This window comes from Homo sapiens, chromosome 6 (assembly GCF_000001405.40).
Source record: "Homo sapiens chromosome 6, GRCh38.p14 Primary Assembly".
Taxonomy (NCBI): domain Eukaryota; kingdom Metazoa; phylum Chordata; class Mammalia; order Primates; family Hominidae; genus Homo; species Homo sapiens.
In genome coordinates this window covers 158,422,356-158,447,886 of record NC_000006.12, presented here as the reverse complement: position 1 = coordinate 158,447,886, position 25,531 = coordinate 158,422,356, and the positions used below count along the sequence as shown (strand labels likewise).

At 43.3% G+C, this 25,531-nt stretch overlaps 1 protein-coding gene and 1 pseudogene across 14 annotated transcripts in view, besides 1 other annotated feature; both read right to left on the bottom strand.

The window, feature by feature from the left end:
* TULP4 (TUB like protein 4) overlaps positions 1 to 25,531 on the bottom strand; it is a 279,634-nt gene that overhangs the window by 63,942 nt on the left and 190,161 nt on the right. For all 14 annotated transcript variants that reach the window (XM_047419082.1, XM_047419087.1, XM_047419084.1 and 11 more), the window contains one exon: positions 17,990 to 18,151. In XM_047419082.1, coding sequence (XP_047275038.1) covers positions 17,990 to 18,151 — 162 coding nt within the window. The remainder of the gene's footprint in view (positions 1 to 17,989; positions 18,152 to 25,531) is intronic.
* Positions 8,369 to 8,528: an enhancer, noted in NCBI's record as "active region_25355". NCBI's record gives its function as "activates an Ori minimal core promoter by ATAC-STARR-seq in GM12878 lymphoblastoid cells {active_cell/tissue: GM12878}" and the evidence as "EXISTENCE:reporter gene assay evidence [ECO:0000049][PMID:35858748]".
* Positions 9,799 to 10,090, bottom strand: RN7SL173P (RNA, 7SL, cytoplasmic 173, pseudogene; annotated as a pseudogene).

The window sequence follows — 25,531 nt, the reverse complement described above, 5'->3', positions numbered from 1 at the left end:
TATCCGTCAGCATCTCATTGCAACAATCATGCAAGTTATCTCCAATTTACAAACACACGAGCAACTTAAGAGAGGCCAAGTAAGCTGACAAAGGCATTAAGTGATCAAGCCAAGGCTGTCTGACTAGAAAGGCTAGAATTTACCCAAAGGGAGAGCTGGTTAAGGCTTTTTCAATTTTTGCTTCTTTTTGCTTGAGATTTTAATGTGAAGCTCCTTGGGGGAGAGACAGTCCATAGCTATGTGGCACCTAACAGAGCTTTGTGTACAATGCAGGCACTCAGTAAATATTTATTGCTAAACGAATGCACTAAAGTCAGTGACAAGCAAAAGGCAATTTTAGGATATAAATACTGATGACTAAGAGACTGCCTGCAGAAAGTTCACAGAATTCAGTTATTTTAGAATAAATTGTTCATCAAATATTCCTTTAAATATGATCTATATTTTAATGAATGAATACTAAAAAAGGCTAAAACAATTTGCCTCCAGACGCAGCAATTAATTCATTACTATATGCTGTTTTCAGGAAAGACATAACTACTAGGAACACCATGAAATTCATTTTAGAAAAAGGTGAAATTTTAGCTGTCAAAAAAAAAATTACTATCTGATAGCATGTCTACAAAGCCTTCATGTGACACAGGCGTAGGGTCAAGACACCGGAGCATGGGTCACGGACCTGCTGAAATCCTGGAAGAGGCAGATGTTTAATGTACTTGGTGAGCAATTTTCAATAACAATAAATATGAAACATGACTTCTTATAACTTTAACTAAGCTGTACCCATTGCCACACTTATCACTATTCTCATCCCTTTACTGTGGGATTGTGTGATTTCTGTCTGACCCCTAGTTACACTATAAACTTTTGAGGCGATGGACTATTATGGACTGAATGTTTATGAGCTCCCCGCCTCCCCAATTTATGTTGATGGTATTTGGAGGTAAGGTCTTTGGGGGATGATTCAGTTTAGACAAGGTCGTGAGGGTGGGGCGCCCACGATAGGATTAGCGCCCATATAAGAAGAGTATGAGAGACCCCAGCTTGCAAGCACTCTCGCTACACCCAAGCACTGAGGAAAGGCCATGTGAGGACCCAGGGAGAACGCAAGCCAGGAGTCAGCCTCCACCAGGAACCAAATTGGCTGGCACTTTGATCTGAGGCTGGCCAGCCTCCAGAATTGTGAGAACTCAATGTCTGTTGTTTAAGCCCCTTGGTCTGTGGTATTTTATTATAGCAGCCCAAGCTGAGACCTGAACCACATCAGCTTTGCTCAACAGTACCTCCCTAGGCCCTGTCATGATGTACAACACACAGGAGTATTTGCAAAAGGGAGGAAATGACTCTGCATTGAAAGGTCTTTTGAATTAATACTCATTTTTCCATTTTAGAGAAGAAAGGACAGATGAAAGAACATACATATAATTCCTGAATAAGGACTGATTAAGTTATCAGAGTTTAGTATCACACTAAAGAAAAACAGAACAAAAAGGGCAGGCCCCAAATCCACTACCATTAATGAATTACAACTACAGTTCCCATAGGAAGACAAAAACACTATTAAGATTGGAAAAAATGGGAAACGCAGCACTGACAGTTTAATTATCAAGCAATGATGGAAGAAGTTACTCTGTTTTGGAACAAGTATGTCACAGATTACTGAAGAACAGTGATACAACATAAAATCAGATTTTTAAAAATCTCTTCCATTACAAGTTCTTTTCATGCCTAATCACTTTTAATGGGATAAAGCTTATGTGAGCAAAGGACTTCAGAAGAACAAGATTGAGAGCCTAATAATAACGAATACACATATGGCAAGTGCATCAATCTCTGCTGCTTCTGCTCCCTAATGTTGGTCAAGTAATGAATGTGTTCTAAGTGGGCTGGTGCTCCTGTTTGTAGAATTCTCCGTGCTAGTGCTCCCCAGGCTTGGCTCTAGGCCCTCTTCTCTCTAGGAAACCACAATCATGCCTGTAGCCTCAAGGATCCCATTCATAGCTGACTCCCTGCCCAGGCCTCTGTCCTGAGCCCCAGACTCTCACATCCAACTGCATTCCTGCCATCTCCCCAAGATGTGCAAAAGGCCCTCAGTGTCAACATGTCTAAGATGAAACGCATGACTGCATCCTTTCCTGAGCAACACACACACAACCAGACCCCATCAAGCAAGGACTGAGGCTTGTGCTTTATCTCCAATGTCTAGTACATCAGCTGGTTCATGGCAGGTGCTCAGACATCATGTGTGAAGGCTTCTGGGCCCCACCACACAGAATTAATCTTGCTCTAACCACGGCCCCCACAGCATTCTGAACTTGGTTCTGGTTTTGCGTGCCTGTCTCCCAGTAAACCAAAAGCATCTCAAGGGCAGGTCTGCACTCCCAGGTTCTCATTCACTCAGTGACTCAATGAATATAAATACATTTCTGTCCAAATCTTTGCCCAAGTTTTCCTACAAATGAAGGAGCAATCTCCTTCCATTCTTCTTTATAAACCAATTCTCAAATCCTCCCATAAAACTACCCCCCAAAAACACTTTCAAGGATGAATCATGTACATTTCTGTCCCATATTTTCCTGCTGTTTCCTGTGACGAACTGTAGGCTTCAGGTATGGGCAGGGCCAATGCTCCCTCTGTAATGCATATACCAGGACCAAATAAGCAGTAGACACATACAGGTCAAGTCATACTAATTCAATGGCTGCCTCGCTGGGTTTGGTTTACTTTGCAGCCTTGTATATACTCACTGCAGGGCAGTTTCTAATAGCAACACGGCCAGGCACCACGGCTCACACCTGTAATCCCAGCACTTTGAGAACCTGAGATGGGAGGATCACTTGAAGCCAGGAGTTTGAAACCAGCCTGGTCAACAAGGTGAGACCCTGTCCTCTAAAAAAAACAAAAAGATGTATCAGGCCATGGTGGTGAGCACCTGTAGTCCTAGCTCCTGGGGAGGCTGAGGCGGGAGGATCACTGGAGCCCAGGAGTTGGAGGCTGCAGTGAGCCATGATTGCTCCAATGCACTCCACCCTGGGTGACTGAGCGAGACTCTGACACACACACATACACACAAAGCAATGCAATAATGATATCCACATATAATCTCTTTATTTCAATGTACTCCATTCTAAACTATTTTTAGGTGCAATTATTTAAAAATAAACACAATTATTATCAATAGTTTAAAATAAACCAAGCCACAACCAAAGGAGGAGAAGACAGGATATAAAATCATTCAAAAGATTTCTATTTTGGAAGCCACAGTATCTCATCAGTACCTTTGTCTTTGGACCCTACACATCTAAATTGTTGAATAAAACCATGTTGGGAAATGTCAACTTCAATAATACATGCTTCCAAAAATGTTCACTCTTTTGTAAGAGTTTAATTTGTAGTATTGGAACTAGTTCCTGAAGGAGGTGACTTTTTCCCACTTATTTGCTTTTATGACTGAAGGCTGGGGGAATACATTAAAAAACTGATTGCAAATCCCTCCTAGTAACCTTAGCACCTCTGGTGGCACGCATGTGTAGCTGCAGATAGAGAAATGAAAAAATAGCCATGATGCCCCTCCTTTTCTTTGGAAGGAACTCTTTTTGTTCTGAGATGCGGCAAAAGTTAAAAAAAAAAAAAAAAAAAATTTTTTTTTTTTTTTTTTTTTTTTTTTGAGACAGAGTCTTGCTCTGTCGCCCAGGCTGGAGTACAGTGGTGCAATCTTGGCTCACTGCAACCTCTGCCTCCCAGGTTCATGCCATTCTCCTGCCTCAGCCTCCCGAGTAGCTGGGACTACAGGCTTGCGCCACCACGCCAGGCTAATTTTTTGTATTTTTTAGTAGAGACGGGGTTTCACCGTGTTAGCCAGGATGGTCTCAATCTCCTGACCTTGTGATCCGCCCACCCTGGCCCCCCAAAGTGCTGGGATTACAGGCGTGAGCCACCGCACCCGGCCAAAAAATTTTTTAAGACCTCCCTGTTGGGTTTCAGAATACTGGCCTTCAGATGTGCTTCAAGGCCAGACTTGAATATTTTGCAACTAAATAAACAGTCACTGAAATCAGACAGTTGTAAATGACAGAACTGCTCAATTGATTAACAGAATATTTCCTGTTTTTTTTTTTAAAAGATGAAATGTAATTTCACAGTTGACTATAACAATCACTCCTAAATCTGTATCTTCAGGCTAAACATGTAATTTGGAAGCCATCTCATCTCTTCACTGAAGAAAAGACCACTTGTAAACTAACCTATTAAGATGAGAGACTCTCCTATGTCTAAAGATTTTCGGAGAAGAAGATATTCTGCCTCAGGCCTCAAATTTAATGTTAAATGATTCCTATTACCAGAATATTCTTCTCCAAATCTTTCAGGCTCCATTTTTAAGTTTATTCACCCTTCTAAGACATACCCATATATCAATTTCTAGGAGTAGAGAATAGTCTGACTACAGAACCAATATAAAAATGCATTTACGGCCAGGCATGGTAGCTCATGCCTGTAATCCCAGGACTTTGGGAGGCCAAGACGGGCAGATCATTTGAGGTCAGGAGTTCAAAACCAGCCCGGTCAACATGGTGAAACCCCATCTCTACTAAAAATGCAAAAATTGGCTGGGTGCGGTGGCTCACGTCTATAATCCCAGCACTTTGGGAGGCCGAGGCGGGCAGATCACAAGGTCAGGAGATCGAGACCATCCTGACCAACACGGTGAAAACCAGTCTCTACTAAAAATACAAAAGTTAGCTGGGCTTGGTGGTGCACGCCTGTAGTCCCAGCTATTTGGGAGGCTGAGGCAGAAGAATCGCTTGAACCCAGGAGGCGGAGGTTGCAGTGAGCCAAGATTGCGCCACTGCATTCCAGTCTGGTGACAGAGTGAGACTCCATCTCAAAAAACAAACAAACAAACAAGCCGAGGATGGTGGTGGATGCCTGTAATCCCAACTACTTGGTTGGGAGGCTGAGGCAGAAGAATTGCTTGAGCCCAGGAGGTGGAGGTTGCAGTGAGCAGAGATAGCGCCATTGCACTCTAGGAGCCTGGGGGACAAGAGCAAAACTCCATTAAAAAAAAAAAAAACCAACCATTTAATTGGAGTATCTCCAGAACGGTACACAAGTAACTGAAAACACATTACCTCTGGTCAGCTTGGGGATAGAAGGAGGGGCCTCTTCATCAAATGTCCTGTGGAACATTTAGTATTTTATACCATGTGAATATACCATTAAAAATACATTTAAATATACATTGAATGAGGAAGAAAGGCACACTTCAGGAATATAGCCCTATATCGGCTCTTTGAAGTAAGGCATAACTGCCCAGGGTGGCCACTCACCAAGAGGCCTGGGAAGGTGCATGTGTACTTTGATCAGAAGACCGCGAGTGATGCTGGAATCTGCTTGGCCTGTTGGTGTGTAGTCAGAGCCTGTTGGGGGAACATCCTATCCTCTGCAAAGAATCGGGCCTGGGGGTCAGCTAGTGGGGCTCATCCTACTTTGAGTCCTAGTGCCATAGTAAGGTTCATCATTCTGCCTCCCAAGTGTCAGCCTGAAATCCTTTCCCATTTCAAAATTTTACAACTCTTCAAAACACACTGAAATATATTTCTAAACATGATGAAAATAGTAATTTCTTCCCATGGCTACTGATAAACTTCTCAACAAATGAGCTGAGAGGAAAGGATTTGCTGATCTGTGCTACCAGTGGCAGCTGGGGAATAGTGGTGCAAGCAGACCCAACAGCACTTGTGACCGGTGCCAAAGACAAGCCAAGCTGGACCTGAGTTAATACAGGAAGGACAAAATTTAATCCATAATAACTGCTGCAGTAGGGAGAATGAGGGAGGAGGAGGGAGGCATAGGCAGTATTCAGGGAAGCAGAAATAACTGAAAAGCAGGAAGGGGGCTGTCAACGCGATTAGGCTCTCTGGCTTTACTAACTGGAGCTTAACAAAATTAGGCCCCTACTCTCTCACAAAGCCTGGGAGATGGGCCCTATCAAACAGTTGATTCTCTTGGCAGGCTCTCAGGCAGGAACGTAAGAGAGCTGGAGCAGTCATCCTCGGGACACAGCCTTGAGTTGTTAGAAACGGTGCCAGTGTTTGCTCCAGGGTGTGTGTGTGGGAAGGGAAGATGGTGTGGATGAAATAATTTATGTCCGAGAGTCTGCAGTATTTAGAGGCCAAGATTGAGGTCCAGCTGAGAAGAGGGCCCAGAGAGGCCTGACCAGAAGGAGCGAGCCTTTGTCCTGGTGGTGAACACATGTGAAACAATACATCTCACCCCTCCTAACACATATAAGGACATATTCAATGCCAAGGTCAGGGGCTGTAGAGCAGCAGTGCCATGTGGAACCCCAGGAAGATCAATTTTGTAGTTCACCATCTGGCTAAACGCTGGCATTTAGGCAAGATCCCTGTGTCAAAACCAAGGCCATCATCATGCTGTGGTATTGATAAAGATATATGAAGAAAATCTAACGTTGCATTAACAAAAAACTGACTTTAAGAAGGTATATGTGACAAGAGCCAGTGTATATTAATAAATTCCTCTCATCTTTTATTCTTAACCTAATATTTTTTTTAGATAGAGTTTCACTCTTGTCACCTGGGCTGGAGTGCAGTGGTGTGATCTCGGCTCACTGTAACCTCTGCCTTCGGGTTCAAGCAATTCTCCTACCTCAGCCTCCCGACTAGCTGGGATTACAGCCGTGCACCATCGTGCCTGGGTAATTTTGTATTTTAATAGATACGGGGTTTCACCACGTTGGCTGGGCTGGTCTTGAACTCCTGACCTCAGGTGATCCACCCCCTCAGCCTCCCAAAGTGCTGAGATTACAGGCATGAGCCACTGCGCCTTGCTTATTCAAGGCAAATCTCAAGAAAGATTTTTATTTAGCGTATTTTATAATTCATCAATACTGAGTGCTCTATTTGGTGATTCATCGCCTGAGTCCAGAGATAACAAAGGGCGATTTAATTTCTAGACATCTTAACTGTCATGTCAATCAACCAAAACACTGACAAAATGAAAAAGTACAAACATAGTAGCTGCACCTGTTTCTGCTAAAGAAACATATTTTATTCCACAAAGTGCTCAACAGAATTTCTCAAATACACGCAAAAAGAAATAACTAAAAACGAACCAGTACCAATCATTGGATAAAGATAGCCCTGAAGGGTGGGAGGCTGTCTCCCAACTTCTTTCCTGAGCAATTCATTCTCCTAACTGTGATTCCTGTGCTCCTTGCTGATTTTGACAAGAACCATTCCTATATATGTTTAGTTCAGGGCTTAAAATAAAGATGGGCCTCCCTTGTGTGGTATTCACACTACTAAAAAGTCATGGGCAGATCTGATGGGAAAGAAGAAAAAGGATCACTCTTTGCGTTGGCTTAGACTAAATCTCATTGCAAAGTTGAGTCCTCAGGAGCTATGAGCAGCAGCTCCACTCTTACCAGCCCTTTAACCTACTTACAGCACACTCACCAGTCACCAGTAAGGGTTTCCAGTGTAGAAGCTGACCATTGAGATTTTACTTTAGTAGGTTTGTGGATTTTTTTTTTTTTTTTTTTTTTTTGAGACAGGGACTCACTCTGTCATCCAGGCTGGAGTGCAGTGACACAATCATGGCTCACTGTGGTCTCAACCTCCTGGGCTCAAGCAGTCCTCCCACCTCAGCCTCCCCAGTAGCTGAGACTATATGTGTGCCCCCACACCCGGATAATTTTTGTATTTTTTGTAGAGACAGGGTTTTGTCATGTTGCTGGTCTTGAACTCCTGGACTCCAGTGATCCTCCCGCCTCGGTCTCCCAAAGTGCTGGAATTAGAGGTGTGAGCCACCGCGCCAGGTCAGATTTATTTTTTTTTAAAAAAGAAACACTCTAGGCCGGACACGGTGGCTCACGCCTGTAATCCCAGCACTTTGGGAGGCTGAGGCGGGCAGATCACGAGGTCAGGAGATCGAGACCATCCTGGCTAACACAGTGAAACCCCGCCTCTACAAAAAATACAAAAAATTAGCCGGGCATGGTGGCGGGCGCCTGTAGTCCCAGCTACTCGGGAGGCTGAGGCAGGAGAATGGCATGAACCCAGGAGGCGGAGCTTGCAGTGAGCCGAGATCGCACCACTGCACTCCAGCCTGGGCAACAGAGCAAGACTCCGTCTCAAAAAAAAAAAAAAAAAAAAAAAAAAAAAGAAACTCTAGTACAAGAGCTTACATGAGAGAGATTACCATGTTCTTTTCTTGTATTGAGCACAGTGACTTTTAAGTCTTTGCAGGGAAACTAAAATCTATGCAGTGCCTATAATCACAATCTTAAAAGACCAGGTGCATCAGGATTCAAAACCAGCAGGCTCCTGGAAGGAGGTGAGAGCTGCTCTTTGAGGAAGTGAGAGCTGCTCTGGGTGGGTGGAGGGAGAGAGTTGCTCTGGGAGGAGGTGAGAACTGCTTAGGGAGGAAGAGAAAGCTGCTCTGTGCCCTGTGTAGGAGTGAGAGCTGCTCTGGGAGGGCAGTTGTTGAGGCTGAATTCTGCTTACAGCCAGCCTTAAAGGGACAGCAGAGGAAAATGTTTTCTTAGGGCAAATAGAAAGCTCCTTGCAAATAATGAATTGTGACTTTTTGCTTTTGGGAAGTTTGACTTTTTTCTATCAAAGAACAGACCTCTTCTATGTGTTAGTTGATATTTATACACCAAATATCGGTAAATTATTATTATTTTTTTTTTGAGACGGAGTCTTGCTCTGTCACCCAGGCTGGAATGCAGTGGCGCGATCTTGGCTCACTGCAACTTCCGCCTCCTGGGTTCAAGCGATTCTCTTGCCTCAGCCTCCTGAGTAGCTGGGACTACAGGCACATGCCACCACACCCTGCTAATTTTTTGTATCTTTAGTAGAGACAGAGTTTCACCGTGTTAGCCAAGATGGTCTCGATCTCCTGACCTTGTGATTCCCCCGCCTCGGCCTCCCAAAGTGCTGGGATTACAGGCATGAGCCACTGTGCCCAACCTGTAAATTACTTTTCATTATAAATCTGTGGGCCAGGTGCAGTTTTGGGAGGCCTAGGTGGGCAGATCACCTGAAGTCAGGAGTTCAAGACCAGCCTGGCCAATATGGTGAAACCCTGTCTCTACTAAAAATACAAAAATTAGCCAGGTATGGTGGTGCGTGCCTGTAATCCCAGCTACTCAGGAGGCTGAGGTAGGAGAATCACTTGAACCCAGGAGATGGAGGTTGCAGTGAGCTGAGATCACGCCACTGCACTCTAGCCTGGGCAACAGAGCGAGACTCTGTCTCAAACAAACAAACAAACAAACAAACAAACAAACAAACTGTGGTGTTTTTAGCTGAGAAAGCAAAGCGTTATACTACTGTTTTAAAGTTCCCTTTATACATCCTTTCCTTTCTGACTATGCCGACAAAGGAAGCCCTCAGCAGGAACACGTGCCTCTCCGGTGCTGCAGGTGCGCTCCTCCAGAGCCATGAGCAGAGCTAGCCCCAAACTACATGCTTCAATCCAACAAGAACCTCCCTCCAAGTAAGGAACAGATGAGGTGTGATAATGGCACTGTGGTTATGGAAGGAAATGCCACGTTTTGAGGAGATTTACACTAAAGTATGTACTGGTGAAATGATATGCTATCTGGGATTCACTTTAAATACAACAAAGAAGAAGAAAAAGAAAGGATAAAAAAGCAAATGTAAAATATGTGGATTCCTTATTTTTCATGTTACTGAAAATTTTCATAATCAAATTTAAAAATTATATAATTAATAATCCCTACAGAGTCATTTACTTTTTATGATTTTTACAGATGGGGTTTCACTATGTTGCCCAGGCTGAAGTGTGGTGGCTATTCACAGGTGCAATCCCACTCCTGATCAGCACGGGAGTTTTAACCTGTTTTAATGGGAGTTTCTGACTTGAGCCGGTTCACCCCTCATTAGACAATCTGGTGGTCCCCTGCACCCAGGAAGTAAACTGTATTGTAGACACCTGAATGACATAGCAAACCACAGCCCACAACTCCTGGGCTCAAGGGATCCTCCCACCTTAGCCTCCTGAGTAGCTGGAACTACAGGCACATGCCACCATACCCAGCCAGAATCATTTATTACTTGGATACTCTGGGGAGTTACGAAATCTCCTTGAGTTCTAAATTGTACTTCAGTCATGACTTTATCTTTTAAAAGTGAATGAATTATTCTTTTCAACTGACCAATGTTTTAACGTTTACCTGCATATGAGTATCTGTAACAGTTCATTTTTCATCCCTTAATATCTCTGAAAAGACATCTGCATACTAATTATTTTTTTAAATATTATTTTTATTTTATTTGAGACCGGATCTTGCTCTGTTCCCCAGGCTGGAGTGCAGTGAGCTATCACAGCTCACTGCAGCCTCGACCTCCCAGGCTCAAGCAATCCTCCCACCTCAGCCTCCTGAGTAGCTGGGACCACTGGAATGTGCCACTGCACCTGGCTGGTTTTTAATTTTTTGTAGAGATGGGGTCTTGCTACATTACCCTGGTTGGTCTTGAACTCTTGGCCTCAAGCAATTCTCCTGCTCTGGCCTCCCAAAGTGCTAAGATTACAGGCATGATTTTAAGCCTGACCTAAAATTTATTTTTAAACCATTTGAAATAAATGAATTAAAAATTCTGTACTAAAATATTCTTTTAAATAATCCTGTTACACTAACTACTCAAGTCCTGATTCCACTCTGCTCCAAATAGCAAATAAAGGTCATATTTCTTGCAAAACATGTATATGAAAAAGCCTTCATCTCACAGATGTCCCAGAGGTGCACAGGCATTCAGTGACTGTTACTGCTTCTCTCCCCAAATGATCTGACAGTGCTTAGCTGCTGTGAAGACACAGTGGCCTCAGGGACATGACCACACCAGCACACAACAGACTACACAGGGTGCAAAACCTCCTTAGCAGATGAGAAGGGACTTGGGACCTACCTTTTGTATCCCAAAGCAAACAGGATAAACCTACCCACTTTCTAGGTTTAAAAAACACAAAACTAAATGCAACCAGCACTGAGGCTAGAGAATAAAATGCCACCTACTAGTACTGCATGTGCCAAGACCTGAAAAGCTAAAAGCTTTACCATGGTGACTATTTAATACTTACCAGCCCGGATTCTTTCTACTTTATTTGAAATCGTGCTTTAAGAGCGTCTAAGAAAATACCAGATTTAAGACTCCCTCCTTTTAAAAAGGTTTAGTATTTATAAAGAAATATTACCTCTACTCCCGGAAAACTAAAATCTGGATATTGCTAGCAAAAACATGTATGAGGTGAAGAATTCTCATTTCAAAAACAACTGCCTTCTAAACAAGGGCAATTTCTATAGAATATTCTTTAAATAGGGAGATTCCTGTAGGTGGGTAGTTAAAATATAATCATGTTTTCAAAAACTCACTTTACCTACATTCTTTCATCCACTATATAAAGTGAAGTATACCTGTACCTGTATTTCAGGAGAACCATTAACCTCCCTTCAAGTGATACATTCTGGTCAAGTTACATGAAACCTTAAATACTTTCAGTTAAGCTGGTTTGAGCACAATCATCTATAAACTTTAAGTATAAATAAATAGTCTCAGATAGAAACATAGGAAGTGGAATCAACAGGACCTGGTGACTAAGTGAAGGTTGGAGGTACAGAAAAGAGAGTCCAGGCTGGGCATGGTGGCTCACACCTGTAGTCCCAGCACTTTAGGAGGCTGAGGCAGGCAGATCACTTGAGGTTAGCGGTTCAAGACCAGCCTAGCCAACCCCGTCTTTACTAAAAATACGAAAATTAGCCAGGCATGGTGGCGCATGCCTGTGTGGTCCCAGCTACTTGGGAGGGTGAGGCACAAGAATCGCTTGAACCCGGGAGGCGGAGGTTGCAGTGAGCCGAGATCGTGCCACTGGGCGACAGAGCGAGACTCCACCTCAAAATAAAAAAAAAAAAAGAGTCCCAGTTTAGGGGATAAAGGATTCCCAGTTGAGGGCACAAACGATGAGCAATTCCCAGTTTAGGGCATAAATGATAAGCAAGATAAGAGTGCAGATGAGGGACCGGAGGGAGGAGAGGCAGGGGGGAGAGGAAGCTAAGTTCAGACCACAGTGGACTTGAGCAACGTCTACGTCTATCCGGAGTTGCTCTGCAAGCATGGTGGTGGTGGTGACGGTGATGGTGTCGCAGTGTGAAGGACAAGAGCGATGAGCGCGGGATAGGTGTGGGGAGCCAGCAGCAAACAGATGGGAGCTGATGCAGCTGTGGCAATGGAGGAAATCACCCAAAGGATGGAAAAAAGGGGAGAGGTCTGAGGTTGGAACCTAGGAAGGGGGACCGAGTTGGATGGAAAGGCATGCCATGTAAGAGCCGGGGAGGGAGATGACAGCGATGGGAGGAGGAGGCAAGATCCAGCTGGGAGAGGCACTGCAGAAAGGACGTGCCTGGATGTGCTGACAGGGTCCAGAAGACGCCAACCAAGGTAGCCGAGCAGAGGATGGAAGCACCAGGCTGCCAAGGAGACCGCATCTGAGGCCAAGAGCCCAGAGAGAAGCATGCTCTGTGGCTCCTGGGGCAAGAAACAGGAACCACTGACTGGGGAGGGAAGCTGCAAATGCCTGGAAGACATACACAAGATACTCATCTTTGCTTGACCCAGGACAGGGGGCTACCCTGACTGTGGGGGGAAATGGGTGTCACTAACTTCCATAAGCTTTAACGCCTTGAAATTGTCTTAAGATGATTTAAAAAATGGTTCATGCACCCATATTATGTATGTGCCTCACTGCAGGAGCTCTCTGGAGATGGGGTATCAGAGATGACACAGGGACAAAGCCGCAGCCTGGGAAGAGTTCTGGGCAGAGCCCGTTGTCTCCCACAGCAGAGAAACGTGTGGGGGCTGCTTCTTGGAGCTCCCCCAGACTGGCAGGAACAAGGAGAGAGTCTTCTTCCCATGCCATTTCATGTATGTGGTAACTTTCATTCAGAAGTTACCACAAAATTCTTCCACATTTAAACTGGAGTCTCAAATTGAAGTTTGGGGCTCTTCTTTTGACCTTTCCTCAGTGGCCTCAGGCACATCAGCTGGTCACCGCCCTAGGAGGACCACACTCAGCATGGAAATGCTGGGTGGCATATCAGCATGTCAACCTTTTTCATGGAAACACAGCTCAGGTTCTCATTGCATTCTCTAGTTGAAAGGCTTTCCAAGTGAATTGACAGTTAGCTAAGATCCAAAACATGCTGGAAGAATATTTCAAAATGTCAACGTCTCAAATAATTTTCACATATCAAGGGGCAAGGTATTCTCCTAAACCCAAGGAGAACACAGACAATGAAACATTCGCTCTGGCAGACCCTGCTGTGATGCTGGATGTTTCCAGAACTGCAAAAGCTTCACTGTTGCAGCATTACTCTGCGTCAACTTAGGACCCAGATATTTTTCCCAGTCATACTTATATTTATTTGACATTTTCTCTTTGTGTCATTCTGGTTTGCTCCCAAGCCCTATAAAACCTGTTCTATTTACAAATATATCCTAAGTTTATCAAGCTGAGTTTATATCACTATTTCTTCTGTAACTTTTATATTCTCCAAAATATTTTCTATCAGTCTATTATGGACTGAATTGTGTGCCCCAAAACTCATATGTTGAATTTTGTTGAACAAATGTGTTGAACCCCAAATGTGACTATTTTTGGAGATGGGGCCTGTAAAGAGGTAACTACAGTTAAATGAGGTAATATGGGTGGGAACCTAATCCAACAGGACTGGTGTCCTTACAGGAAGAGGAAGAGACACCAGAAATGTGGGTGCACAGAGAAAAGTCCACGTGAGAACACAATAAGAAGGCAGGTGTCTGTAAGCCAAGGAGACAGGCCTCAGGAGAAATGAGACCTGCCAACACCTTGATCTTGGACTTCTAGCCTCCAGAAGAACTGTGAGAAATACACTTCTGTTGTTGAAACCGCCCAGTCTGTGATATTCTGTCATGGCAGCCCAAGCAAACTAATACAGAGTCCTCACCCACTAAATAAATTCCAGGTAGGATTACATTCCCTTCTTGCAATTTAATGGAAGATGAATTTTAGCCTGAAGTAAAACACATCCTTTGAACAAATCAGCTGTTTAAGTGTAGATGACATTAACAACATGCTGTGAAAAATAACTTTTTTTTGAGACAGAGTTTCCCTCTTGTTACCAGGCTGGAGTGCAATGGCGCCATCTCGGTTCACTGCAATGCCTCCTGGGTTCAAGTAATTCTCCTGCCTCAGCCTCCGGAGTAGCTGGGACTACAGGCACGTGCCACCACGCCTGGCTAATTTTTTGTATTTTTAGTAGACGGGTTTCACCGTGTTAGCCAGGATGGTCTCGATCTCCTGACCTCGTGATCTACCTGCCTCGGCCTCCCAAAGTGTTGGGATTACAGGCGTGAGCCACTGCGCCTAGCAACTTTTGTTTTTACAAAGGTTCCATTAAACTCAGCAACCCTCAGACTAGGATGAGACATTATACACTTTTTAGTGTGGTTCAGAGTAAAGAATATGTTACCTTTAAAGTATTCTTGCCAAAATTGTTTACTCCAACTCTAGTCTAGACTTAACTTCCAGTTTATAGGAAATACAAGGGCCGGAAGGAAAATGATACTATAAGTAAACACAATCAGACAAATCTAGAGTGTGGGGACAGCGTGTAAGGTGGCCACACTGACCTCATGAAAAAGTCAATTTAAAAAACGGGAAACTGTTCTAGACTAAAAGACTGTAGAGACAGAACAACCAACTGCTGTACATGAATTAAACTGGATCCTGGTTCCAAAAAACCAAAAAAGACTATGAAATACATTCCTGTAACAATTAGGGAAATAAAAAGGTAGCCTAGATACCAGATAATGTCATTGCTAATTTCTTAGGGGTGCCTGTGCAGGTGAAAGGCTTTATTCTCAGGAAACACATGTTGAAATATATAAGGGTGATGTGCCACGATGTCTACCACTTACTTTCAAAAACAAGAACTACAAAAAAGTGGGGAGTGGTGAGGAAAAAGTGCAAATATGGCAAAATGTTTCAGGAAGGTTTATTTTCTCAACTTTTCTGTACATTTGAACATATTCATAATAGAAAGTTGGCAAAACAGCGCACAATACAGGCACATGCCACTATGCCCAGCTAATTTTTCTATTTTTAGTACAGACGGGGTTTCACCATGTTGGCCAGGATGGTCTCAATCTCCTGACCTCATGATCCACCCGCCTTGGCCTCCCAAAGTGCTGGGATTACAGGCGTGAGCCACCGTGCCCAGCCATGCACTGCTTATATTTTTTAAAGTTGACAGGAAGTAGCCTAAAATCCCACTATAATCCAATATAGCTCAAGATGTGAGGAAGAGGTTTACTCCTGGAAGCTATTTTAACTCACATTAAAGGCAGAAAGTTCTCAGGGAAGCAGGAAGAGACTCATCCGGCTTCCTGCAGCTCTACCTTCATGTCCACCGTTCAGAGCCCCTGAGCTGCAGGGGTGCGCTTTCCACATCCAACTCCTGACATTACAGACATCAGGCTGGCCCACAACCTGTCTATGGACTCTTTTTTCATTGATAAAATCAAACCAAGCAAGAGATGTGAATGAGTGGTAGAGACAGGAGGAGGAGTATTCCTGCTCTATGTCTCAGTTCAAACAAGACTGAGTGCCTGATACACATGTTCTCTGTGGTAAATTTTTCCCAGGGTCCTTATTGCTTCAGTGACCTGCAAATCCTTTTTTTTTTTTTTTTAATTTTTTTTTTTTTCAGAGATGGGGTCCTGCTATGTTGCCTAGGCTGGTCTCGAGAACTCCTGGGCTCAAGTGAGCCTCCCACCTCAGCCTCCTGACTAGCTGAGACAACAGGCACCCTGCTGCAACCATTTTATTTAAAGGCAGTGGGGGCGCTTTCCTAGAACAAAATCCCACCTGTTAGTAAAAGCAGTCATCAGGACAGAGGCTGCGGCCACGTACCCAATTGCTTGCCACATCAGCTCTTTCCTCACGCCAAGGTCTACAGACTCAAGGCCAGGCACGTCAGCATGGCCTCCATGCTTCCCATGGCCATTGTCCTACCGACTCCTCCAGCCCCAGGAGTCCCCCTTCACGTTCCACGGCAGCAGGAAACCACTCCCTGTGGTACGTGCACACCATGGTGTCAATACCCTGGAACTCTGCTTGGGCTGCCTGGAACAACGTACCCCAGATTCGACTTGGGAGTCACAGCCAGCCCTTCCTGGGAAGTCCTCCTCCACACGTTGCCAAGCCACGGCAGCAGATTCTGTGTAAGGAGAGGTCTGTCTCCTCAACAGGTCCAATTGTACCTCAAAGGCAAGAGCTGCGTCTCTCTCACTGCTGTATCCCCAGTGGGTCCCCTGCCTGTCCTACATGTGCACAGTCTGCTGGGGACACTGGCTGGCACAACTCATCAGAGGACCATGAGATGAGCCTCACAGATGGCTCATGGGTTCCATCACTCTAGGCGAGGGAAGAATGTGAAGCCAAGACATCCACTCCTGGATTTTTAAGGGCTTTCACATCTGTTCCTTCATTTGATCATTAAAAAGCCCTGGGGATTAGGCAGGAAATAATACACAGTCCTTGTCACACAGGAGAAACTGATACAGGAAAGATCAGGTGCCTCGGGCAAGGTCACTTAATGCAACGCACTTCTGAGACTCGGGGGTAGTAAAAACCCATAAAAATGCAGCTTTATAATAAAGGAATCTAAGCATTTCATATAAATACACACAAATACTAGGGGATAATTGGAAGCCTCTGGGGAAAGCAAGGGAAGAAACATGGAGCTGAAAATACCTTTTCATAAATCTCATAATACCAATTTTGAGAAGAGAAAAAATATTTGTCTTTTTACTTGAAAAATGGAAACATTAAATATATAGTGACTAGAGGAAAGCAATTCAGTTAAAAAAAAGTGGCTCAAAAATGAAAGTTACGGTTCCATATTATACTGCTTGGTTTTTTACCAATAATAAACTTAAATCTCTGGGATAAAACATTCTGGCATTATATGTATTCTGCTATACATGGAAAACACAAGTTTTATAAAGATTTTAACTAGTCAATCCTTATACTTTAAAAATTTTCATTTCATTTTTGAGATGGAGTATCGCTCTGTCACCCAGGCTGGAGCGCAGTGGCACAATCCTGGCTCACTGCAACCTCCACCTCCCAGTTCAAGCAATTCTCCTGTCTCAGCCTCCAAGCAGCTGGCATTACAGGCGCCCGCCATCATGCCTGGCTAATTTTTGTATTTTTTTTTTAGTAGAGACAGGGTTTCACCATATTGGTCAGGCTGGTCTCGAAATCCTGACCTTAGGTGATCCACCCGCCTCCACCTCCCAAAGTGTTGGGATTACAGGCGTGAGCCACCGTGCCTGGCCTCCAAAATGAATTATCAATATAGAATTTTATTGTTATTATATGTTATTTTCTCATGAAAGTCAAATAGGCACATTAAAGAACATTTTGAAATTCAATTTTTAAAAAACGAACCAGAGGCTCATTACTATAAAATTGCTTATAATTTTTTGATTCACTTCCCTCCAGCTTTTTACCATGTGGATGGGCTTCTTTGTTGTCTTACGATGTAGCAATATACCAAACATCCCATTTCCTATCCTGATTTTTTTTAAGCTTAGTATCAACTTACTTGATATCTAATATCAACTGCATATTTATGCAGATTTTATTAATAAAATTGTATGAACATTTTATATAATTAAAATGTTAACTTAATGTTACCATATTGGTGGGAAATGTTGTTTTTCCAATTTATGGTTCATTTAGAATTTTTATTTTAATTTTTACCTGGACAGTTTTATTGTTCTTTTCCATTGTGATTCTTAAAGAGGCTTTTGCACCAGCTCCCCTCTCCTGCCCCTTTCTTCCCTCCCAGCCCTCATGGTTTTAACGTCACACACCCACCACATTTCAGAAGTGTTACCTGTTGGTCGTCAGGAGTCCATATGCCACACGTAATTTGACTTTCCAAGTTGATTTCGGATGACCAGTGTCTTTGTCCACTGACAGACCCAACCAGGACAAACCCATCTCGATAGGAAATAAGTGCTTGAGTTCCATCATGGCTCCACGTGAAATCACTCACCTTGGGGACACACACAGAAAAGAGTCAATTTGTAATCTGAAAAGGAAAACATTTTATCAAAGTCTAGACATAGTCATTAACTTAGACTTTTGGCTAAGATGGAGATGGCCTTAAAATATAACATATGTTATTTGAAAGCTATAAAAACGTTACTGAGGCCAGCCACAGTGCCTCATGCCTGTAAACCCAGAATGCTGGGAAGCCAAAGTGAGAGGATCACTTGAAGCCAGGAGTTCGAGCCCAGCCTAGACAAAATAACGAGATACTACCTCTACAAAAATTTTAAGAATTAGTCGGGGCCGGGTAAAGTGGCTCATGCCTGTAATCCCAGCACTTCGGGAGGCCGAGGCAGGCAGATTACTTGAGGTCAGGAGTTTGAGACCAGCCTGGTTAACATGGTGAAACCCCATCTCTACTAAAAATACAAAAATGAGGCAAGCGTGCTGGCACGTGCCCGTAGTCCTAGCCACTTGGGAGGCAGAGGTGAGAGAATCACTTGAACCTGGGAAGAAGAGGTTGCAGTGAGCCAAGATAGCGCCACTGCACTCCAGCCTGGGCAACAGAGTGAGACTCTGTCTCAAAATAATTAGTCGGGAGCAGTGGCAGACACCTGTGGTCTTAGCTACTCAGGAGGCTGAGGTGGGAGGATTCCTTGAGCCTAGGAGGTTGAGGCCTTAGTGAGCGATCATGGTGCCTCTGTACTCCAGCCTGGGTGACAGAACAAGGTATTGTCTCTAAAGAAATTTTTTTAAGAAAAATGATTGAAACTGACTTCAGTGCATACTGTGCATCACCAGTGTTCTGTATGTTTCATGTACATTAATTCATTAAGCCTCAAGTCAACAGTCTGCGGAAGGTATTACTGTTCTCATCTACAGAGAAGACTCAGTCAACATAGCAGGCAAGAGACAGAAACAGGAAAAATCCCAGGAATATCTGGCTACAGGGTCTTTCCTTTCAACCACTGTTACACTGCCTCTCACTTATGGTTAGTAATAGATTCTCCATCAGAGTCTGTTGGTCCCTTACCAAAACAGTAAAGCTCTAAGTTTCTGATTATATTGCCCCTCAGTCTTGCTAACAATACCCCCTCAATCAGAATGAAGAAAAAAAAAAATCTAACTGAAAAACATTACTTATACTTGAGTGTTAAGTTTATCAAATGCTATTGCATCTATTCAAATGACCACATTTTTCCCTCTATTAATCTATTGTGGTAAGTTATTTGTATGGATTTTTACATATCATACTATTCTTGCATACCTACCAGAGTCCAATTTAGAGGTATTGTCTTTTATATGCACAGTTGAAGCTGATTTGCTAGTGTCTTTAGATTTTCTGCATCTGCATTCATGAATGTAGTAGACCCGTGATTTTGTTTTGGTAATGTGCGTCTCTGGATTTAGCAGGGTTACGTTACCCTCTCAAGATGAGCTGAAGTAGTCCCTCTTTCTTCAATGCCCAGAAGAATTTGTATAAACAGATGATTTGTTGCTTGAAAGTTTGGTAGACAAGCCTGCCAAATCATCTGACTATGTATTTTTGTAATGGGAAGATTATTAACCACTTATTCAATTTAATAGTCCTAGTACTAAACTTTCACGTTTTCTTTTGAGACAGAGTCTTGCTCTGTTGCCCAGGCTGGAATGCAGTGGCATGATCTTGGCTCAGTGCAACCTCCACCTCCCGGGTCCAAGCGATTCTCTTGCCTCAGTCTCCTGAGTAGCTGGGATTACAGGCACGCACCACCACCACACCCAGCTAATTTTTGTATTTTTAGTAGAGATGGGGTTTTGCCATGTTGGCCAGGCTGGTCTCCAACTCCTGACCTCAAGTGATCTGTCTGCCTTGGTCTCCCGAAGTGTTGGAATTACAGGCATGAGCCACTGTGCCCAGTCTAAACTTTCAACCTTTTTACTTCTTGAGTCAGTTCTGGTAATTTTAGGGCTGGGTGTGGTGGCTCACGCCTGTAATCCCAGCACTTTGGGAGGCTGAGGCAGGCAGATCACGAGGTCAAGAGATCGAGACCATCTGGCCAACATGGTGAAACCCTGTTTCTACTAAAAATACAAAAATTAGCTGGGCATGGTGGCACGCGCCTGTAGTCCCAGCTACTCAGGAAACTGAGGCAGGAGAATCGCTTGAACCTGGGAGGTGGAGGTTGCAGTGAGACGAGATCATGCCACTGCACTCCAGCCTGGCGACAGAGCGAGACTCCGTCTCAAAAAAAAAAAAAAAAAAAAAAAAAAAAAAAAAAAAAAAAAGGTCTGATAATTTTGAAAAGGAATTTGTCCATTTCATGTAAGTTTTCAAAACTGCTGGCAAGTAGTTGTTAATATTTTCCTTTTAAAAATCAACTTTATTAAGGTATAATTTACATGCAGTAAAGTCCCTCCTCGCCCCAGAAGTCAATCCCCAACCCTAGTCCTAGGCAAACAGTGATCTGCTTTCTGTCACTGGTTGTTCATTCTAGAATTTTGCACGAATGGTACCATATAGTATGTTCAACTTCTCTGTCTGACTACTTTTACTCAGTATAAAGATGTTGAGTGTCATCTGAATTCCGTGTGTCAGTAGTTCATTCCTTTTTATACATATTATTCCGTTGTATGAATATACCATAATTTGTCTATCCAAATTGCTATTCAGCAAAGTCTCAGGATACGAAATCAACATACAAAAATCACTAGCATTCCTACACACAAACAACAGCCAAACCAAGAGCCAAATCAGGAACAAACTCTCATTCACAACTGAAACAAAAAGAATAAAATGCCTAGGAATACAGATAACCAGTGAGGTGAAGGATCTCTACAAAGAGAACTACAAAACACTGCTCAAAGAAATCAGAGATGACACAAACAAATGGAAACATACTACATGCTCACGGATAGGAAGAATCAATATCACTAAAAGGGCCATACTACCCAAAACAGTTTACAGATGTAATGCTATTCCTATCAAACTACCAATGACATTCTTCATAGAACCAGAAAAAAACTATTTTTAAATTCATATGGAACCAAAAAAGAGCCCAAAGATCCAAGGCAATCCTAAGCAAAAAGAACAAAGCTGGAGGCATCATGCTACCTGACTTCAAACTATACTACAGGGCTACAGTAACCAAAACAGCATGGTACTGGTACAAAAACGACACACAGACCAATGGAACAGAACAGAGAACCCAGAAATAAGGCTGCATATTTACAACCATCTGATCTTTGACAAAGCTGACAAAAACAAACAACGGGGAAAGGACTCCCTATTCAATAAATGGTGCTGGGATAACTGGGTAGCCATATGCAGAATGTTGAAACTGGACCCCTTTCTTATACAATATACAAAAATCAACTCAAGATTAAAGACTTAAATGTAAAAACCCAAACAATAAAAACCTCTGAAGACAATCTAGGCAATACCATTCTGGACATAGGAACGGGCAAAGATTTCATGATGAAGATACCAAAAGCAATAGCAACAAAAGCAAAAATTGATAAACAAGATCTAGTTGAACTAAAGAGCTTCAGAACAGCAAAAGAAACTATCAATAAAGTAAATAGACAATCTACAGAATGGGAGAAAAATTTTACAAAGTACGCATCTGACAAAGGTCTAATATACAGCATCTATAAGGATACTTAAACGAATTTACAAGAAAACAACCCCATTAAAAAGTGGACAAAAAATAAGAACTGACACTTTTCAAAAGAAGTCATACATGCAGCCAACAAGCATATTTAAAAAGGCTCAACTTCACTGATTAGAGAAATGCAAATCAAAAACACAATGAGACACCATCTCACATCAGTTGGAATGGCTACGATTAAAAAGTCAAAAAACAGGGCAGGGCGAGGTGGCTCACGCCTATAATCCCAACACTTTGGGAGGCCAAAATGGGTGGACACCTGGAGCTCAAGAGTTCGAGACCAGAGATGGGTTTCCCATCTCTACTAAAAATACAAAAACTAGCCTGGGGTTGTGTCAGGTGCCTGTAATCCTAGCTACTCAGAAGGCTAAAATAGGAGAATCGCTTGAACCTGGGAGGTGGAGGTTGCAGAGAGCCAAGATCGTGCACTCCAGCCTGGGCAACAGAGTGGGACTCCGTCTCAAAAAAACAAAACAAAACAAACAAAAAAAAACCTAAAACAGAAACAAAAAAACTAAGTGGTTACGTCATTTTACACTTGCGTCGGCTGCCATTTTTTTTTTTTTTTTTTTTTTTGAGACGGAGTTTTGCTCTTCTTTTCCAGGCTGGAGTGCAATGGCACGATCACAGCTCACCACAACCTCCACCTCTCAGGTTCAAGTGATTCTCCGGCTGCAGCCTCCCGAGTAGCTGGGATTACAGGCGCCTGCTACCATACCTGGCTAATTTTGTATTTTTAGTCGAGACGAGGTTTCACCACGTTGGTCAGGCTGATCTCGAACTCCCGACCTCAGGTGATCGGCCCTCCTCGGCTTCCCAAAGTGCTGGGATTACATGTGTGAGCCACCGCACCCAGCCTGTTGTCAGTCATTTTAATTTTAACTATTCTAGTAGGTGTATGACATTGTCTTTTTTTTTTTTTTTTTTTTTTTTTTTGAGATGGTGTCTCACTCTGCCACCCAGGCTGGAGTCCAGTGGCACGATCTCAGCTCACTGCAAGCTCCGCCTACCGAGTTCAAACAATTCTCCTGCCTCAGCCTCCCGAGTAGCTGCGAATACAGGCGCCCACCACCACGCCCGGCTAATTTTTTTGTATTTTTAGTAGAGACGGGGTTTCACCATGTTAGCCAGGATGGTCTCGATCTCCTGACCTTGTGATCCGCCCACCTCGGCCTCCCAAAGTGCTGGGATTACCGGTACGAGCCACCGTGCCCAGCCGACATTGTCTAACTTGCATTTCCATAATGACTAATATGTTGGGCATCATTTCATGTGTTGATTGATCATCTACACATCTTTTGGGGTATATCTGTTCAAATCTCTTTCCATATACAGTTTGTCATCTGTATCCATGGATTCTGTATCCATGAATTCAACCAACTTTGAATAAAAATTGGAAAAAAATTACATTTGTATTGAACATGTACGCTTTTTTCTCCCCTTGTCATTACCCCTAAATAATACAACAACTATTTATTTAGCATTTACATTGTATTAGGTATTATAAGTAATCTAGAAATGATTTGAAGTATACAAGATGGGCTGAGCGCAGTGGCTCACACCTGTAATCCCAGCACTTTGGGAGGCCAAGGCAGGCAGATCACTTGAGGTCAGGAGTTCAAGACCAGCCTGTCCAACATGGTGAAACCCTGTTTCTACTCAAAATGCAAAAATTAGCCAGGTGTGGTAGTGCGCATCTGTAGTCCCAGCTACTCAGGAGGCTGAGTCGGGAGAATCACTTGAATCTGGGAGGCGGAGGTTGCAGTGAGCCGATATCAAGCTACTGCACTCCAGCACAGAGCGAGACTCCATCTCAAAATAAGTAAATAAGTAAGTATACAAGATGATGTGCATAGATTATATACAAATATACCGTTTTACATCATATACGTGTGCTTCCATGAATTTCAGTATCTGTGGAAAGTCCTGGAACCAATCCGCTATGGATACCAAGGGATGACTGTATGAACACGGGCAAATATATTTTAAAAATATATAGTAAATATCAGTTTTCACCTTCTTACTGTCATAAAATTTCTCTATAAATTCTAGATATAATCCTTTATCAGATATGTGTACTTCAAATATTTTCTCCAGTCTTTGGCTTGCCTTTTCATTTTTTTAATGGTATCTTCCAAAGAGAAGAAGTTGGCCAGGCGCGGTGGCTCACACCTGTAATCCCAGCACTTTGGGAGGCTGAGGTGGGCGGATCACGAGGTCAGGAGATCGAGACCATCCTGGCTAACACGGTGAAACCCCGTCTCTACTAAAAATACAAAAAATTAGCCGGGTGTGGTGGCAGGCACCTGTAGTCCCAGCTACTTGGGAGGCTGAGGCAGGAGAATGGCATGAACCCAGTAGGCAGAGCTTGCAGTGAGTCAAGATTGCGCCACTGCACTCCAGCCTGCGTGGCAGGGTGAGACTCCATCTCAAAACAACAACAACAACAACAACAAAAAACAAAAACAAATAACAACAAACAAGTTTAAATTAAGAAAAAATTTAATTTATAATTGGCCCATAATAACTGTATATATGTATAGAGTACAATGTGATGTTTCAATGCATGAATACATAGTATAATGATCAAATCAGAGTTAATGCCATATCATGTTAAACATTTATCATTTCTTTGTGGTGACAATACTTAACATTTTCTCTTCTAGCAATCTTGAAATATGCTCTACATTGTTATTTGCTATACTTACTCTACTGTGTAACAGAACACCAAAACTTATTTTCCTGTCTAACTGTAACTTCGTATCATTAAATTTCGATGAAGTCTAATATCAAGTTTTTTCTTTTATGGATCACGTTTTCTGCATCCAGTCTAAGAAATCTTTATTTAGCCCCAGGCTGCAAAGACTTCTAGAGGTTTAGCTTTTACACTTACGTTGCAGGAGTTATTATTGTAGGCAGATAGAGAGGAAAAGGGGTCCTGGGAAGGTTTCTTTCCCCCCCCCCCCCTCTTTTTTGTGGAGGAAGGGGTCTTGCTGTATTGCCCAGGCAGGTCTCCACTTCCTGGGCTCAAGCTATCCTCCGGCCTCTGCCTCCCTGAGAGCTTGGATTACAGGCGTGAGCCTGTAAGTTTCTTAGAGCCAGGCTAGCAACCTTTGATATGCAAATGCAGACCATTAGAAACTGGGTCCATCCAACATGGCGATTCGGGCGCCTTCCGGCCCTTGTCCCAGGTGTTCCTGGCAACATGGCCGCCCCCACATATCCCCACGTGTGTGGAACATCCTTGGCGTCCTGCATTTGCATATTTAAAGGCTGGGGTGGGAGGGCCAGCGTTTTCCGCAGGCTACATGGTGAATCACATGCCTGGTCAAACCAATCCCCTGAGCCCTATGCAAATCTGACATCGCCTCCTTCAGCCTCTGCATATAGACCTGGCTGGTATCCACCGCACTTGGGGACCTCCTCTTTCGGCTTTGGAGCCTCCTCTCCCTCTATCTCTGTATGGGGGAGCCTCTTCCTTCTGCCTTCCGCTTCCTTCTTGTCTATTAAACTCTCCGCTCCTTAAAACCGCTCCACATGTGTCCGTGTTTTGTCTAAACTGGCCTGAGAATTAAGAACCCTGGTGTTCCTCCACTCACTGGAGCCGTATCACTTATCTCTGATTCATCTAGAGTTAATTTTTATGCACGGTGTGAGGTAAGAATCAAGGTTTTCTTTTTAAAAAATACAGATATTCAGTTGTTTCAGCACCATTTGTTGAAAAGATTTACCTT